Source organism: Homo sapiens, chromosome 4 (genome assembly GCF_000001405.40).
Source record: "Homo sapiens chromosome 4, GRCh38.p14 Primary Assembly".
Taxonomy (NCBI): domain Eukaryota; kingdom Metazoa; phylum Chordata; class Mammalia; order Primates; family Hominidae; genus Homo; species Homo sapiens.
Window position 1 is genome coordinate 93,355,767 of NC_000004.12, and position 17,475 is coordinate 93,373,241.

The 17,475-nt window shown below is 33.9% G+C and overlaps 1 protein-coding gene across 18 annotated transcripts in view, besides 1 other annotated feature; it reads left to right on the plus strand.

Moving 5' to 3' along the window:
* The window catches only part of GRID2 (glutamate ionotropic receptor delta type subunit 2), a 1,506,491-nt gene that overhangs the window by 1,051,801 nt on the left and 437,215 nt on the right, over window positions 1–17,475 (plus strand). The gene's annotated exons all lie outside the window — the stretch shown is intronic.
* Window positions 10,205–11,018: an enhancer, noted in NCBI's record as "OCT4-NANOG hESC enhancer chr4:94287122-94287935 (GRCh37/hg19 assembly coordinates)". NCBI's record gives its function as "activates a minimal SCP1, AML or CMV promoter by ChIP-STARR-seq in primed H9 embryonic stem cells {active_cell/tissue: H9 hESC(primed)}" and the evidence as "EXISTENCE:reporter gene assay evidence [ECO:0000049][PMID:30033119]".

Here is a 17,475-nt window from a genome sequence, read left to right on the forward strand (position 1 = left end):
AAAAAATATATTTGCCCTGAAAGTGACACATTTTACTTCAACTCACAATTCCTTGGCCAAAATTGGTCCAATACCTACATGCTACCACAGAATGCAAGAAAGTATGATCCTACTACAGATCTTCAGAGAACAGCAAAAGAATGTAACTCCAGTTTGTCTCTTACTCTCAAAATCCGCTGGTGCCCTCATTAATTATTACCCAGAACATCACAAAGACTGACTTGTCTCTCTTCCTCTAGCTGAGCTTCTTTCTAATTTATTTTACAAACCTGACCCAGAAAGAAAGAACACTGTAAAATATAAACATTATTGTTTAAAAATCACATAAAATCATAAACATATAAAACCCGTATAAATATAAACTTACCTACTTATCATCTTTCACTAACTCACCACATTTGTTGAGCACCTCCAATGGGTAAGACACTGTGCTACTTCTTGCCATCACAAATTTTACATTTTTAATTTTGTCCCTCTGCCATTGTTATCAAGTATAGAATACTTAATATGATTCATAAAGTATATAAAAACAAGGGCCCTGGCCTAGTTCTCCAGCTTCATTTTAGGATAAGCAATTTTATTTCTTGCTGTTCTTGTTAATTTAGCTTAGTTCTTTTATGATTATTTTTTTCTCAAAGAATAAATTTTTTTTTCAATTATTCATTCTACTTTAAGAACCACTAATTTTTGGTGTCTGCTTTTATTACCATTTGTTTCATTTATGGAAAATGCTTTTATGATTTTTTTCTAAGTTACTGAATTGAATGCTTACTTCATGTATTTTTATTCTAACTCTCCTAATCATAAAGGCATTTATAAAATGAATTAAACAGTTATGAAAACTTTGGCTGCCTCTCATATTTTTATATGTTGTAGATTCATTCTAATTATGTACAAAATTATTTATAGTAGCATTTTATTAAAACATAACGTGTAAACAAAAAAAGTTGTACAAGAAAGACAGAAATCACTGAAATTCCATTTCTATAACTTTGATACATATTTTTTCATCAGAATCAGCTATCTTGTTCATATTTTTGAGTAATATGGGGTCAAACATTTACATTATTTTGCAATTATTTTTATGTACAAGCATTTTGGAACAGTTTTTATGACAACAAATATGTGTGTGCTTTGTGTGTCTTTTTATTTCTTTTATTTCTTTATAAGGACAAATGACTATTTGTCTCTAAGGTACTAAGGTTGATTTTAATTTTTTCACTAATGAAAATAATTTGGAATATCTATATTTAAATTCTTATATGGCCTGTTTTCAATTTTTTTTATGTTTTTATAGCTAGGATTTAGGGATCAAATGATATTTAAGTCTGAAGGTTTTTCATATTAAGTAATCATTTTCCCTCTTACAGGTTATAACAATTTACTCTCCCACTAACAAAAAATGAAAATGTCTCTTTTCTCACCTATCAAACTATATTATCCTGCTTTTTAATTTTTACCAAACTGACAGGTTGAAAAGTATGTACATTTCTTTGATTACTAATGCCACTGATTATTTTGCCTTAGCTAATTATTTATTTCATTATTTATGCATATTTTTCTTATTAATTCAAGAGGACTCCATGAATTAAAAAATAATTTAATTATTAACTCCATGAATTAAAAAATATTCTGTCATATATGTTGAAAATATTTATTCCCAATTTTTTCATTTTTCTTTAAATTTTTCCTATTTTTGGGGGAAGTTTTGAATGTTTTATGTTATCAAACTATTAATTTTCCTTTTTATAGTTTCTGCTCTGGCTGTTATATTTAGAAAGGTCTTTCTTTTGGTTTCCAAGTTTATTTTATTTATATTGCTACAAAATATTTCATTATTTTGCAGCAATATAGTTTATATTAAAATTTATATTGCTACAAAATATTGCTACAAAATATTTTGTTATTTTGCAGCAATATAGTTTATATTAAAATGTTTTTCTTTAAATATGTAAAGGATCTTGATTATGTTTGATGTAGGTGTGAAATAGGAATCCAGCTTTATTTTATCTGTCACAACTTGGTTGTTCAAAAGTCACTAATTGAGTAATCCATTCCTTCCCACCTTTTTGTATAATAAAAATTTCATTTTGTGTTTGTGCTATATATATTTTGTTTTATTGACCTATTTTGATGCAAATCATATAAAGTTTTTACTGCAGAAACTTTGTGATATATTCTAATTACAATTTTGGTAAGGTAAATCCAATATATTTTTCTTTTTCAAAATATTATTATTCTTTTTTATTTTAAAGGAGCTTTATAATTAATGATGTTTACAAACAAAGTCTTTAAGATAGTTTCATTGGACTTATCAAATTTGTAGATCAATTTTGGAGAAAAATGGCATCTTCAAAGTATTTCTTCTTCTAATTTAGAAAGAGGACACTAACCTGGGTATTCCAGATAGGCAATTATATCCTCAGTAAGAAATTATGTCTTTAGTTCCTATATTAAATGTTTTGTTTTTATCAAGCTTTATTAGCTATTACTTTAAAAATATTAATTAACAGTAGCAAAAATGACTCTTTTCTTGTTCCTGATTTTAATGAGAATTGCTTCAGCATAAAATGATCATTTATTTTAAATTGGTACATTTTAATAAGTTAAGAAATTGTACTTCTGTTTTTAAGTACTAATTGTTAAACAAATAAACAAATTGTATATACCAAAGAGAACATAGCATATTGGTAAGCATCCATGGAACATTGACCTTTATATTAGTAAATGAAATAACTGTAAATATTCTGAAATTCTGAGCATGTTAGAAAATAGATAAATGGGGAAAATTCACATTATCTGACCATAATGCAATAACTCTAGAAACTAATAAGAGATTTTAAAAAAGAAACAAAAAAGTGCTGATAAAACATTTAAATAAAGGTCTTGAAATTTTAAGAAAAGATTGGATTACATTGTACCAAATTCTACTTCAGCATCTACCCAGATTTTTCTTCTTTGATCTAGTAATGAATCATATCTGGAACAAATAAGACTTAGTTACTACGTTATTTTTAAAAGTAATACTGAATTAAGTCTGCTACTACTATTAATACAGTTATTTTACATAAGGGAGGTTAATTTTCTGTTTTCTGCTATTTTTGTCAGGTTTTGAAGTCTGTTTTTATTGGCTGTATTTAACAATGGGAAGAAAGTTAACTGTTGCCATGATAATGCTGTGTTCTCCATCACTCAATTAGCAGTTTAAGTAACACCATTTATTATTTATCATGAGTCTATGGTTGATGGGATGTTCTGCTGAACTGGATCAGGTTTGACTCACCTCAGCTGGGCTTGCTCATCATCTGTGGTCAACTGGCAAGTCACCTAAGATAGCTGATCTGGGATACCTTCAGCTGAGATAATTCATCCCTCTTTCAAATGTGTCTCTGACATCCTTCTTTCCAACAGGCTAGATCAGGCACACATCCTCACATGTCGTCAGGGGTCCAATAAAGTTAAACCATGCATGTGTCTTTTGAAACTTGTTTGCAATTTTTTCATTTTTTTTTTCATTTGAAAGTAATTTTTGTGAGTACATAGTAGGTGTATATATTTATGGGGTACATGAGATGTTTTCATCACAGGCATGCAATGTGAAATCAGCACATCATGGAGAATGGGATATCCTTTCCCTCAAGCATTTATCATTTGAGCTACAAACAATCCAATCACATTCTTAGTTATTTTAAAATATGCAATGAAATTATTATTGATTATATTCACCCTGTTGTGTTATCAAATAGTAGGTCTTATTCATTTTTTTCTGTAGCCATTAACCATCCCCATCTCTAGCCACCCGCTACTCTTCCCAGCCTCTGGTAACCATCCTTCTCTCTCTGTGACTATAAGTTCAATTGTTTTGATTTTTAGATCACAAATAAGTGAGAACATGTGATGTTTATCTTTCTGCGCCTGGCTCATTTCATTCAACATAATGATCTCTGGGCTTGGCTATGGTATTTGCTTAGCAAATGAAACAGTAGCTCCAACATCATGGATAGCGCTACTGTTTCATTTGCTAAGCGAATACCATAGCCAAGCCCAGAGTCAGTAATGGGAAGGCAGTAGGCATTACAAAAGGGCATAGATAAGGAAGGTGTAAAAAAAAAAAAAAAAAAAAAAAAAAAAAAAATGGGGTCAATAATACAATCAAGCCACCATTTGAAGCATCACTTCTTTTATATTCTCTGCAATCTCTTAAATAATATAGGAATTATCTGTTCCATATTACCTTTGCAAGTCTTCTTAAAGTCTTGACACGTAAATCTTCTTTAAAAATAGCTTTTAAAATTCATTAACAGAATTTCATTCCTAGACATTTCTTAATGAGACAACTTCTTTATAGCTGCGATAATATTTTATTTCTACAGTTGTTTATTTTCTACTCTTAACTGGTCTTATAAGAAACTTGTTCATTTTACCAATGTTTTAAAAGAATCCGTTCTTGGATTTATTTATATTAGTGTTATGTTCCTTTTTTTCTAATGTATTCATTTCTTCCTTTTGCCTTTTGCTTTTATGTATTCCATTCTCTATCTTGCGAAATAATGTATTCTAACCTTTCCAGCTTCTTGAATGGAATACTTAGTTCATTTATTTTAATTTTGTTGTGCTCAATAATGATATTTTTAATTACTTGAATATTTCATCTGAGATCAATTTGGCTTTACCCCATAGGTCTGATATGTAGTGTCAGTATTTCTATTTTCTAAATATGTGAGATATCCTTTTTAAATGAATTTATATGGTGAAAATCCTTATTTAAATATTTTATCAGTAGTTTTAAAAATATATATCTGTTATTAATTTCTAGTATTGCATTGTGGTCAGATAATGTGAACTTTCCTATTTATTTTGTAACATGCTCAGAATTTCAAAATATTTACATGTGTTTTGTTGCAAATATAAGGTCAATGTTTCATCAATATTTAAGAGCATGCTATATTCTCTTTGGGATATCCAATTTGTTTTATAATTTGTAATTCAATTATATTATTTATGATATTTTTCATATACTTAATTTTTCACCTGTTATCAGTTATAGATGATTAGTGCCATTTTAAATTTTTTTTACTCCACATGCAATTTTGTCTATATTTTTTCTGTACTTCTCTTTGTCTATATTTCTTTGTTTTTCTTTGTATTTCTAAGATTTTCACATTGTATATTTGTGCTGCTTTTTTTAGTGTACAAAGTTTTATCAAATGTACTTTTATAACATTTTGCATATTGAATAATTTTTCTCCAAATTCTATTTTATCTAATATAACCATTGCTATACTGGCTTCTTTTTTCTTTTTTCATTACAATAGGTAACACTTATTGACATCTATAGTGGGACATGCATAATTACTAAATTTTTTTACATGCAATAATTCATTTAGCCCTCAAGAGAACCTTATAAGGTATGATTATCATCCCATTTACTGAGGGTTACAGTTGAGTGAAGCAGAGGGAATTTATGTAAGTTGTTCAAAGTCACAAAACTAGTAAGCAACTGAGCTGAAATTTGAACCCAAGCTCTCTGTCTCCAAACTGAGGTTTTGGCAACTATAGTCTGTTGCTTCTTTATAAATATGCTGCTTGGTCTTGTAAGAAGTAAGCTATTTTTCTCTCTTGTTAAATTTGCTCAGTCTTTTCAGGGCTGTATGAAGTCTACAAATGAGCCCATCAAAGGCTCTTTTTAAATGTTACTGTGATTATTATTATTATTATTATTATTATTATTATTTGTAGGATTTCCATTTGATTCTATTAGAGCCTATCTCTCTGCTGAAATTTCCTATCTGGTCATGCATGTTGTCCACCTTTTTAATAGAGCCTTCACTGTATTAATCATGATTCTTTAAAATATCCTGTGTTTTGATTCCAGCATATGGATTATATCTGCATCTAGTTCAGTGATTAATTTATGTCCTAATAGTGGGTGTTATTTTCTTGCTTTTTTATGTGTCTTATAACATTTGAATGAAAGACAGACACTATGTAAGGACAGCAGAGACTGAGGTAAATAGTATTAATGTGTGGAAACAGGCATGCCTCTCCTGCTGCTAGTTTTTTTTTAGATTATATTTTATTTTAAGTTCCAGGAAACGTGCAGGATGTGCAGGTTGGTTACATAGGTAAACGTGTGCTATGCAGGTTTGCTGCACCTATCAACCCATCACCTAGGTATTAGGCCCCATATGCATTAGCTATTTATCCCGATGCTTTCCTTCCCCCTTCCCCCACCCCACAGGCCCCAGTGTGTGTTTTTATTGGAGATGGGCTGTTAAATCAATCCAGTCAACAGTCAATCTTGATTTACACTGCTGTTGCTTGTTACACTCAGTGCACCACAGGTTTCCAATCTTCTAGTGAAATCTTATGCTTAGGTTAGGTGTTGGGTCACTAAAGAGAATTTGTAACTTTTCTCGATACTAGATTTTCCTGTGAGCCTGTGCCTCAGTGAGTATATTTTTTATACCGTTGCTTCTCTCTCAATGGTAGAATGCCATTACTTGTTATTCACACCACTTACTAGTCTGCTTGTGGGTGTGTGGGGAGTTGTTGCCGGGGGACGGGTTGTGGACAGTTCTTAGGCTTAGGCAGGCAGTGTGTCCCTGGATTGGGGATCTGGCTTTCTTGGTGATCCTACTCATCCTCCTCATGGCAGTCAAACTTTGTCTTAAATGTTTGGCAGGTCTCATGCTTGGGGGAGATTTTACCCCTTTTGGAATGGTTGATTTTTTTCTTTTACCCTTTACACAGTTTCATTGAGTTTTCACCTGTTTCCTGAGAAACTATAGCAAAGCTATTAAGCTTTGCTTCCCCTTCCATAGTGCCTTAAAGCTTTTGTTCAATAAGCTATGTAGGGAAGAAAAATCTGGGCAAGGGTTTACCCCTTTCTCACAACAGAAATTGCTCCTCTTCTCAGGCCTGCACCACTGAGAGAAGTTTTCTCTGATCTTTCATTCTGCCTCCAGTCTTCGTTGTAAACACATGGTGAGGTCTGTGAAAGATAGCCTGCAAGTTGGGTGGAAATTGCCTTTGTGCCTGTGAATCCCAGTAGTTCTCTACTCTTATGAGTGTACTCTTACACCATATACTATCATGCAAGCTCTATACTCATGCAAGCTCATACTTGGATTAGGCAATTTATTTTAAAAATTAAAATTTCCTTACCTGCAGCGGGGCACGGTGGCTCACACCTGTGATCCCAGCACTTTGACAGGCTGAGGCAGGTTGATTGTTTGAGGCCAGGAGTTCGGGATCAGCCTGGCCAACATGGTGAAACCCTATCTCTACTAAAAATACAAAAATTATCTGGGCATGGTGGTGCATGTCTGTAATCTCAGGTACTCAGGAGGCTGAGGCAGAAGAATCACTTGATAGGAGATGAAGGTTGCAGTGAGCTGAAATTGCACCACTGCACTCCAGCCTGGACGACAGAGTGAGACCCTGTCTCAAACAAACAAACAAAAATTTCTTACCTACTTTCATCAGGACCTCAATCTCCTTTCATGCTCTACTCCAGCTGCATCAGTACACATGTGCCTCTTTGTCCTTGGAGGAGCCTGTCTTTCCTTACATTTCAGGCTATGAGATCTACCTGCAATCCCAGCCCTCGATGTGGTTAAGAGGAGTGATGATTTTGTCCATTACAGCTTCTTTTTTTCTTGTTGAGAAGGAATTAATGCTCTTTCCAGACATCTACATCCTAAGCAAAGACTGGAAATCTAATATATAAAAATCAAACTACCTCTGTTAATGATATATGTGTTTTTTTTCTAATTAATTCTTGTTTTGTTGTTACTGTTGTGTGAGTGCTTGCATGCTTATGTTCTCTTTCTTGCAATGTATGTATTTACCTTCTTTTGTGACATAGAACATATGAATTTTGTTTTTAATTTCTCTAGTGAATCTGTTTAAGTTGATTTAACATGTACTTAAATTAATATACCTTAATTATGAAAAACAATACTACAACAATCTGTTTTTCTTTGTGCATGAAAATTAAGGCACCCCTTTACTTCCTCTTCATATATTCTCTTCCAAAACTATCATAAGAGAAAATATTAGTTAATAGAAAATATATGTATATATAGTCATCCAAAATATTATTTTTAGGCCTAGCTTCATATATGTAATTGCTTCCAACTTCTCTTCCAATCATTTTATACTTTTATATTCTCTATTCTTCAGTTCTGTATTTTTATTCATCTCATAGTCATCTCAGTTAAATTCTCTTGCCAAAGAGTAAGAAAAATATATATATGTGTGTTGTATTCATTGTAGTTTGAGAATGTTTTCCTATTGCTTTTTCTCATGAATAACAATTTGGCATTCTTAGTTTTTTCTTTCTAAAAATCTGAAGACATATATACATTTTCAACTGACATCTGCTGCTAAGGAGAAAAATACTAAAGCTACGTTTTCATAAAAATCTGAAACTAGTGCTATTTTTATTTGTTTGTAGGTAATCTGTTTTTGTGCTTAGACACATGTGGAAAAATTTTTATAACTTTGGAATTAAAAAATAATCACAAGGTTAGGTCTAAAAATAGGCTTTTTTAAAAAAATCAATTTTGCCTGTGACTTAGTGAGCTCTTTTAATATATAAACTATCATACTTGGGTTAGAAAATTTTTCTTCCATTATTTCTTTGAGTATTGAATCTATTTTCATTGACCTATTATTTTTTTCTGAAAAATCTTATTTTGTTTTTAAATTATATTTAGAGACAAGAGTCTTGCTCTGTCACTCAGAGTAGAGTGCAGTGGTGTAATCATAGCTCACCGTAACGTTCAACTCCTGGGCTCAAGCAATCCTCCCACCTCAGCCTCTAAAATAACTGGGACTACCACCCAGTCAAATGCCACCACATTTGACTAATTTTTATAAATGTTTTGTAGAGATAGGGTTTTGATATGTTGCCCAAACTAGTCTTGAATTTGGGGCCTCGAGTGATCCTCCCACCTCAACCTCCCAAAGCCATGGGATTCCAGGTGTGAGCCACTGTACCTAACCCTCTTCTGGAAAATCTTAAGGCCTTAGATTGCATTCCTGTCTTTATAGGTCATATTTCTCATTATTCTCTTCTTTTTGACCTTTTCTTTGCAACTTGAGAGTTTTAAAAGTTCACTTATTGTGTAACTTATTCATTAGTCCTGATATATCATTTGCATTCTTTACTACTCCCAACTGTTATTTTTATTCTGCAGTAGAAGTTTGTCTTTATTCTTTTTTGTTTTCTTTTCTCATATTATCTCATCTTTTATATCATTACCTTCCTTTCAGCCTATTCTCTTTGTTGGTTCTCTACTGATGTTTCACCTAGATTTTCATTGTTTAAAGGCATTCATCAGATTATATTGCAACATTTTTATTGAATGCAGCCAGAATTTATGTGAGGTATGTACTACCTCTGAGACTTGAGGGTGATATTCTGATTTGTTTAGGGTGCAATGAGTTTTTGTGTTTGTTTATGTTTCTATAAACCATCCAGGCCCAATCTTTATTTTTGTCAATAGTTAAAGAAAGTGAAGCATCTTTTGCCTCCTCTACAATCCATTTAGTTAAGTTCAGTTTTTCTTTCTCAGACCTAGAGTTAAAGATCAAATAGATATGTTCAGCATTTAATCAAATTTACCATGCATAGTAGGTATTCCATGTATAGGTTTTTGACAGAGATTTACTAAAGTTATTTGGTCTAATTATGACAGAGCATTTATTCCAGACACTGTCTTGTTTATACTACTTATCACTCAGTGACTAAATCTTCCAAAACAAAAATTATTGTCATCTCACCCTCTCTACTTCCATAACCTTACGGTGGTTTCTGCTTTGAGTAGTAGTCTCTGGATATTTGTGAAAGAGTGTAACTGAGAAGGCAGCAGGTAGTGAATAAGAGAACAAAGTCTCTGGATACTAATAAAGATAGTTCTCATATAGTTCAGGATAGCTTGCTGCTTACTTGGCCATAAAGCTCTTACAGCCTAAAGTTAGGCATAATCAAAGGAAATATTGTTGCGGGAAGTCAGGGACCCCAAATGGAGGGACTGGCTGAAGCCATGGCAGAAGAACATGGATTGTGAAGATTTCATGGACATTTATTAGTTCCCCAAATTAATACTTTTATAATTTCTTATGCCTGTCTTTACTGCAATCTCTAAACATAAATTGTAAAGATTTCATGGACACTAACCACTTCCCCAATCAATACCCTTGTGATTTCCTATGCCTGTCTTTACTTTAATCTCTTAATCCTGTCAGCTGAGGAGGATGTATATTGCCTCAGGACCCTGTAATAATTGCATTAACTGCACAAACTGTACAGCATGTGTGTTTGAGCAATATGAAATGTGGGCACCTTAAAAAAAGAACAGGATAACAGCAATTGTTCAGGGAATAAGAGAGATAACCTTAAACTCTGACTGCCTGTGAGCCGGGTGGAACAGAGCCATATTTCTCTTCTTTGAAAAGCAAATGGGAGAAATAATGCTGAATTCTTTTTCTCAGCATGGAACATCCCTGAGAAAGAGAATGCGCACCTGGGGATAGGTCTCTAAACTGGCACCCCTGGGCATGGTCATCTCTTATGGTCGAGACTGCAGAGGTGAGATAGACTCCAGTCTCCTATAGCACTCCCAGGCTTATTAGGAAGAGGAAATTCCCGCCTAATAAATTTTGGTCACACTGGTTGATCTCTCAAAACCCTGTCTCCTGATAAGATGTTGTCAATGACAATGGTGCCTGAAACTTCATTAGCAATTTTAATTTCACCTGGGTCCTGTGGTCTTGTGATCTTGCCCTGCCTCCGCTTGCCTTGTGATAGTCTATTACCTTGTAAAGTACTTGATGTCTCTGACCCACACCTATTCACACACTCCCTCCCCTTTTGAAAATCCCTAATAAAAACTTACTGGTTTTTGTGGCTTGTGGGGCATCATAGAACCTACCGACATGTGATGTCTACCCCGGACGCCCGGCTTTAAAATTTCTCTCTTTTGTACTCTGTCCCTTTATTTCTCAAGCTGGCCGACGCTTAAGGAAAATAGAAAAGAACCTACATGAATATCGGGGCAATTCCCCGATAAAATATATTATATAGGGAGACTCAAAGCATATTTCTACCTTCCCTGTACTAATTTGAAAAAGAATATATATGGTTGATAAATATATATATATATTTAGAATAAGTATTAAGCCCCAATGTTATGCATACTCAAAGGAATTATACAACATAAAGAGAATCAAAGTATATTTCTACTTTCCTTGGACTAATTCGTCCTGTTCTGGTTGTAAGTATGGGATATGAAATACATAGATGAAATGTATGCTTTTGAATCTATCCCCAATCTCAATTTAGTTGTTTCAAATTATTTGAGAATTTCTCATTTATCTTTCTCTAACTTGAATTATGGAGCCTGTGGCTTTATTTTTTTTTTTTTAAGTTTTTTTTTTTTTGGTCAGTTGTTGAAATTTTTAAACAGATATTTGGAGGAGGTGTATCAGAGCCAGCTAGTTTTAAGTCTCAGACTGGTCACTCTTAAAATAATCCCACCCAGTCATGCCATCATCAAATTTAGTTGCCTCTCTCCTTGGCTTAAATTTAATACATTTTTTCCCCAATCTATTGGACTCTTTAGAAATGTTTTAAACAAAAATGACTAATTTATTTTTTAAATGTAATTAATTTTGTTGATTGAATAAGAATGTTTAAAAATGAAACATTATTGTGAAAATTACCACATCCTTGGTTTAAAATAGCCTGAGAAAGGAAAGCACAGCCATAAGAAATAAATATACGAATAGGTTAATACAGAGGAAATTGTGCCAGACAAAGCTGGTTGCTTTTTTGATAGCTTTACAGCCTTAGTAAATGAACAGAGTGGAGTAGACATAATGCATCTTGACTTCTAGCAAAGTACTGGAGACAATGTCGTGTGAAATTTTGATTGCAAAATTAATTTGAGTTGGCTTGAAAAACACTGTTAAAGGAAATATAAGCTGGTTGAAAAGACATACAGAGAAGAGTGTTGATTAATGTCAGTGAACTAATGAGTTGAGTGATATCTCCAGTTAAATGTCACGATTGTGAGTGTTGGATTGAATTATTTTTGTTATCTGTTGAAAAAATAAATAACATAGGGTTGATTAAATTAGAGCAGAAAATTTATCAGGAGACACCAGTGATTACAGAAAATCTATATAAAGACATGAATTCATTTCAGAGAAAAACCAGTGAAACAATATAATTTTACTTAAAGAGTCCATTTTTTTAATCACAAAATGGAATTCTATGAAGTATCAATGCTTAAAGACCTTCAAACTACAGAATTTCTCAAAACTAATTGGAAAACAAAATTAACTATCTCAGTAAGGCTAGAACATCATTTTAATCCAGTTAGTAGCTACATTTTATCCCAACCAATAAAGTGACAGTTAATTCTTACCTAGAGGATGTGGTTAAATGTATAATTATTATTTACCAGAAATAAAAAAAGTATCTAGAAAATCAGTAACCTCTAGAAACTCTTGGGCACAGGAGAGGGAGAAAACTATGGAAGGGGAAGTAATTATGTTCTTAACTATGTTACATTCTTAAGTTACATTCTTAACTATGGGGATATAGTAAGACTCTAAATAACTAAAGTTTTTTTTTATTATACTTTAAGTTTTAGGGTACATGTGCACAACATGCAGGTTTGTTACATATGTATACATGTGCTATGTTGGTGTACTGCACCCATTAACTCATCATTTACATTAGATATATGTCCTAATGCTATCTCTCCCCACTCCCACCTCTCCCCACAACAGGCCCCGGTGTGTGATGTTCCCCTTCCTGTGTCCATGTTATTTTTGAAATATCCAGATTAAATGTAGTTAAGTAAAACAATAAACTTTTTCAATGTAGGTTTTTTAATGCTAATGAAAAGCTAGTCAGCATGGGGTAAATTAGATTAAATTAGATTAGGTAAATTGGAATAAGAATCAAATGATCACAATCATAAAATGGGATTAGTCTTACTATAAGTCACACCTGCAAAAGGAAGAAGATAACCTGGAAAAATTTAAAGAGTCTTCCACTTTACGAAGTCGTAGTGAGTTGGCAAGTTTTAATAATTTAAAAGAAAACGTTGATTTCATCTAAAAAGAGAGAGAGAAAGTTTTAGTTATTGATTCAACATGTATTTATTGAATACCTTAAATGTGCACTATTTTTGGTTTTGTGAGCAGTCCCAAACGATTAAAACAGAGTGACTTGTTCCCTGACTATCTTAAATTATCGCAAACTGATTGGCTTAAAACAACGGAAATTTATTCTCTCACAGTTTTGGAGGCCAAAAGTTCACAAGCAAGGTATCAGCAGGGCTGCACTCCCCCTAAAGGCTTTGGGGGAGAATGATTTTGAGCGTTTCAGCTTCTGTTAGCTGTCAGCATTCTTTGATTTGTGGCAACATCACTCCAATCTCTGCCTCCATGGCCATGTTGCCTCCTCTTCTGTCTGACAAATCTCCCTCTACCATAGTCTTAAACAAACAGTTGTCATTGGGTTTAGTGCATATTCATGTAATCTAGAACACTCTCCCCTCTCAATACTTAACATAATTATATCTGCAAAGATCCTTTTTCCAAATAAAGCAACGTTTGTTTCCAAATTTTAGGATTTAATATCTCTGGGTGACCATGATTTAACCTACTACAAAAGCATTTTCTAACAAGCAGCTTAAAATAGGTTTCTTTTTTCTTTGAGACAGGGTCTTGCTCTGTTGTCAAGGCTGGAGTGCAGTGGACAGTCATGGCTCACTGCAGCATCACACTCCCAGTTTCAAGCGATCTTTCCACCTCAGCCTCCCAAGTAGTTTAGAGGACAGGTGCATGCCACCACACACAGCTAATATTTCATTTTTTTGTAGAGACAGGGTCTCTCTGTGTTGACCAGGCTGGTCTAAAACTCCTGAGATCTAGCAATCCTCCTGCCTTGGCCTCCCAAACTGCTGGGATTACAGGTATAAGCCACTGTGCCAGGCTCAAAATTAGGTTTCTATTGCTGCATTAATATATACACAGGGCCATCTCTTTCTCTTCTAATTATTTTACAAATATAAAGAGCATCTGTAACACAATGAAGCTGTTTTCCACTTTAGGAAAAGACAGTTTTGAAAATGTGATTAATTATTTGTTGCAGGTTAGGCTTCATACAGTCATATTCCCAGTGCACATTGTCCTCAAGATCTCCCCAGTTTGGCACTGAAGCCTTATTGACTCTGTCTCTGAAAGAGGCCTTAAATGATCCCCCTTCCTTCTAATCCTCACTGAAATTCCCTTAGGTTAAGCCCAATTTATCCAAGGGCTATGGTCTTCTACTTGATGTTCTGTTTTTAATCCTTGATGCTATCCTTCTCCTTCCATACAAACAGTAGATACACATATTTTCAAAACACAGACTTTCTTGTGTTCTCTACTTAAAAATCTGTCTAGCTTTCAGATACATAAAGGAAAAGCAACCTGGTTTTAAGAGCATGCAATGCTTCTTCTTAAATTTCCGATCCCTGTCCTTGTCTGCAGATTTATCACTTAACATTCCTCTCCTTGCTTCATAATACTACACACACAGACATACACACACACAAACACACACAAACACACACACACAAACACACACAAACACGCACACACAGGCACACACACACACGCACACACAAACACGCACACAGAGACACACACACACACGCACACACACACACACGCACACACAGTTCCTTGATATTGCAGTCACACAGAATTGTTCACTGTTTCTTGAAAATAATCATAAACTGCATTTGCTCATGTTATTTTTTGAGATCAGAGTGTTCTTCCCTCTTTTTTCTGCTTTAAGGTTTTCTCTTTTTTTGCACAGCTATTAAAACTTGGCCAACTATTATATTTTCTCTATAGTTTTCCCTGATCCTTACACATCTTCATAGCTCCTTACATGTAACTCTATTACTGTGTGCATCATATGCGATCGTGTTTATTTTCCCTGTGTGATTTGTTTTTTAGACTATGACCACCTTGAAGACAGAACTGGGTCTTATCTATCTTTACATCTCCTAGTTGTTTGCATGGTTCTTGACACATAGCAAATGCTCATAAACTTCTGATGAACTAAATTACTGTAAATTAAAGTCATTGATACATTTAAATGGCACGATTTACCTATATCTGTTTTATAATCATAGTTAACAAATTAAGCAAAATACTTCTAGGACCAGGAACTCAATATGGAGACACTCCATTGTAAGAGAGAAAGATGCATTGAATCGTTTATTCAGAAAGAACTTATTATGTCACTGTAGGCACTGCACAAAGGCTAAAAATCCCAAAATAGAATTGTTAAAAAATTAGGGTTTAAGATTAAAGGCAAAGGAAATCATATTTGTTGAGACTATTAGGGTTGCTTGAAGTAAACTAATGCCAAGTTTAAGTAAAAAGATTCCTGCTATATGATATAATTGTTAAGCCTAAGAGACCAGCAGGCACCAGGTACAGTTACATTCAGATGCTCAAGCAATGCCATTAGGGAACTGCCCATGTTTAGCCATTACTGTGTTCTGTTATTCCTTTTTTTTTTGTTTTGTTTTCCCTCTCAGGCAGATTCTACTCATGTGGTAACAAGACTATTATTCTAGATACTGTACTCATATTTAACAGTCTCAGGGAAAGAGTGAAGCCTTTTACTCAATCGTTCCAGAAAATATCTAATGGATGAAGGGAAGGCTCTAACTGGCCTTCGTTGGACCACTTACATTTCTTTGAACCAATTACTCTGGTCAGAAGATGAACATGTCTGATCTTTCAGGATTAGATTCACATGCAAAATAATGTTACAATTCAAACTAGGAAAAATAAATTATATATTTTTAAGAGACTGGATGAAAATACTCCATACATCACATGTGCTTTTCTTTTTCTGTATATTGGTATATACATAATCACTATTTCTTTTTTTTTTTTTTTTTTTTTTTGGAGATGGAGTCTTGCTGTGTTGCCCAGGCTGGAGCGCAGTGGCATGATCTTGGCTCACTGCAACTTCCGCCTCCAAGGTTCAAGTGATTCTTCTGCCTCAGCCTCCTGAGTAGCTGGGATTACAGGCACCCACCACCACACCCGGCTAATTTTTGTATTCTTAGTAGAGACGGGGTTTTACCATGTTGGCCAGGCTGGTCTCAAACTCTTGACCTCATGATCTGCCAGCCTCGGCCTCCCAAAGTGCTGGGATTACAGGCGTGAGCCACTGCCCCTGACCCACCACTATTTCTTTTGTAATTAAAAAGTACATATACACTTTATATTTTGATGTAGATGTAAGAATAGCCTCTGCTTCAAAGACCTCATTATAATAGTATTAAAGACACACAAGTAAACAAAGGTAACAATAAAATAGTAATACATATCAAATATTAAGTATCTCAGGAATAATTATTCCTTCTAAGGAATGGCAAAGAAATTTTTCACACCACAAAGTTAATTTTGAATTGGGTCTTCAAGGAACATAACAATTTGAAAAGACAGAGAGGACTTTCCAGGAAAATGTAACTACATATGCACAAATGACAGTAGGGATTATAGTAAGAACACTTTTATTATTATTCTACCTCTTCACTCTATTCAATTTCCCTGACTACTACAATGTCCCCATGTTGGTTTCTCCTTTCTTGTATTCCAAGATATTGTGTCCTGCTTTTGCTTATTATTCTCTACCCCTTAAGCTTCTCATTGCTTCCTCCTTCTTTTCTCTTTTTTCTGGGCCTCCCTCTTTGTTTTTACGATCCCTGGGAGGACTCATTTAATTGACTCCTAAATGGTTTCTGTGTCTCTAGTGTCTTGTAGACATTAGAGGCACAGAAACCATTTTTCACTGTCTATTTTCCACTCGGCATCCAAACTAATTTTCCATAAACATTGCTTCCATCATGGATATGTGCTTTAATAGCATTGGAATCAGACAGATCTTAAGCACAATACAATAGTATATATACCAGATACCAGTTATATGACTGTGAGAAGATAGTAACTTCTGAGAGTCTCACTACTAATGCCCAACTTGTAAGATAATTATGAAAATATGTACAACATATGTATCACTCTCAGCAGTGCTAGCCACTAGATAGATGTGCAATATATAAGTAGATAATACTTTTGTGGGTATCTATATTACTCCTTTGCCCATAACCAACAGTGAACCATCATGTTCCTTTTTAAGCTTGGTGGTGGATACAGGTGTTCACTTTAAAAGTCTCAGTCTCAGATTTCAAGTCTTCAACCCATCTCCTAAGCTGTCAGAGGCCTTTACAATCTTTACCTACCTCCTTTATTCAGTCTTATTTCCTATCATTTCCCCACAGGAACTATTTGCTGGCCCTTTAATTTCTCCCTTACCTCAGAACTTGCTAATATTTATCACTCTTAAATATATGTTTTTGCTTGTGCTGTTCCTCAAAC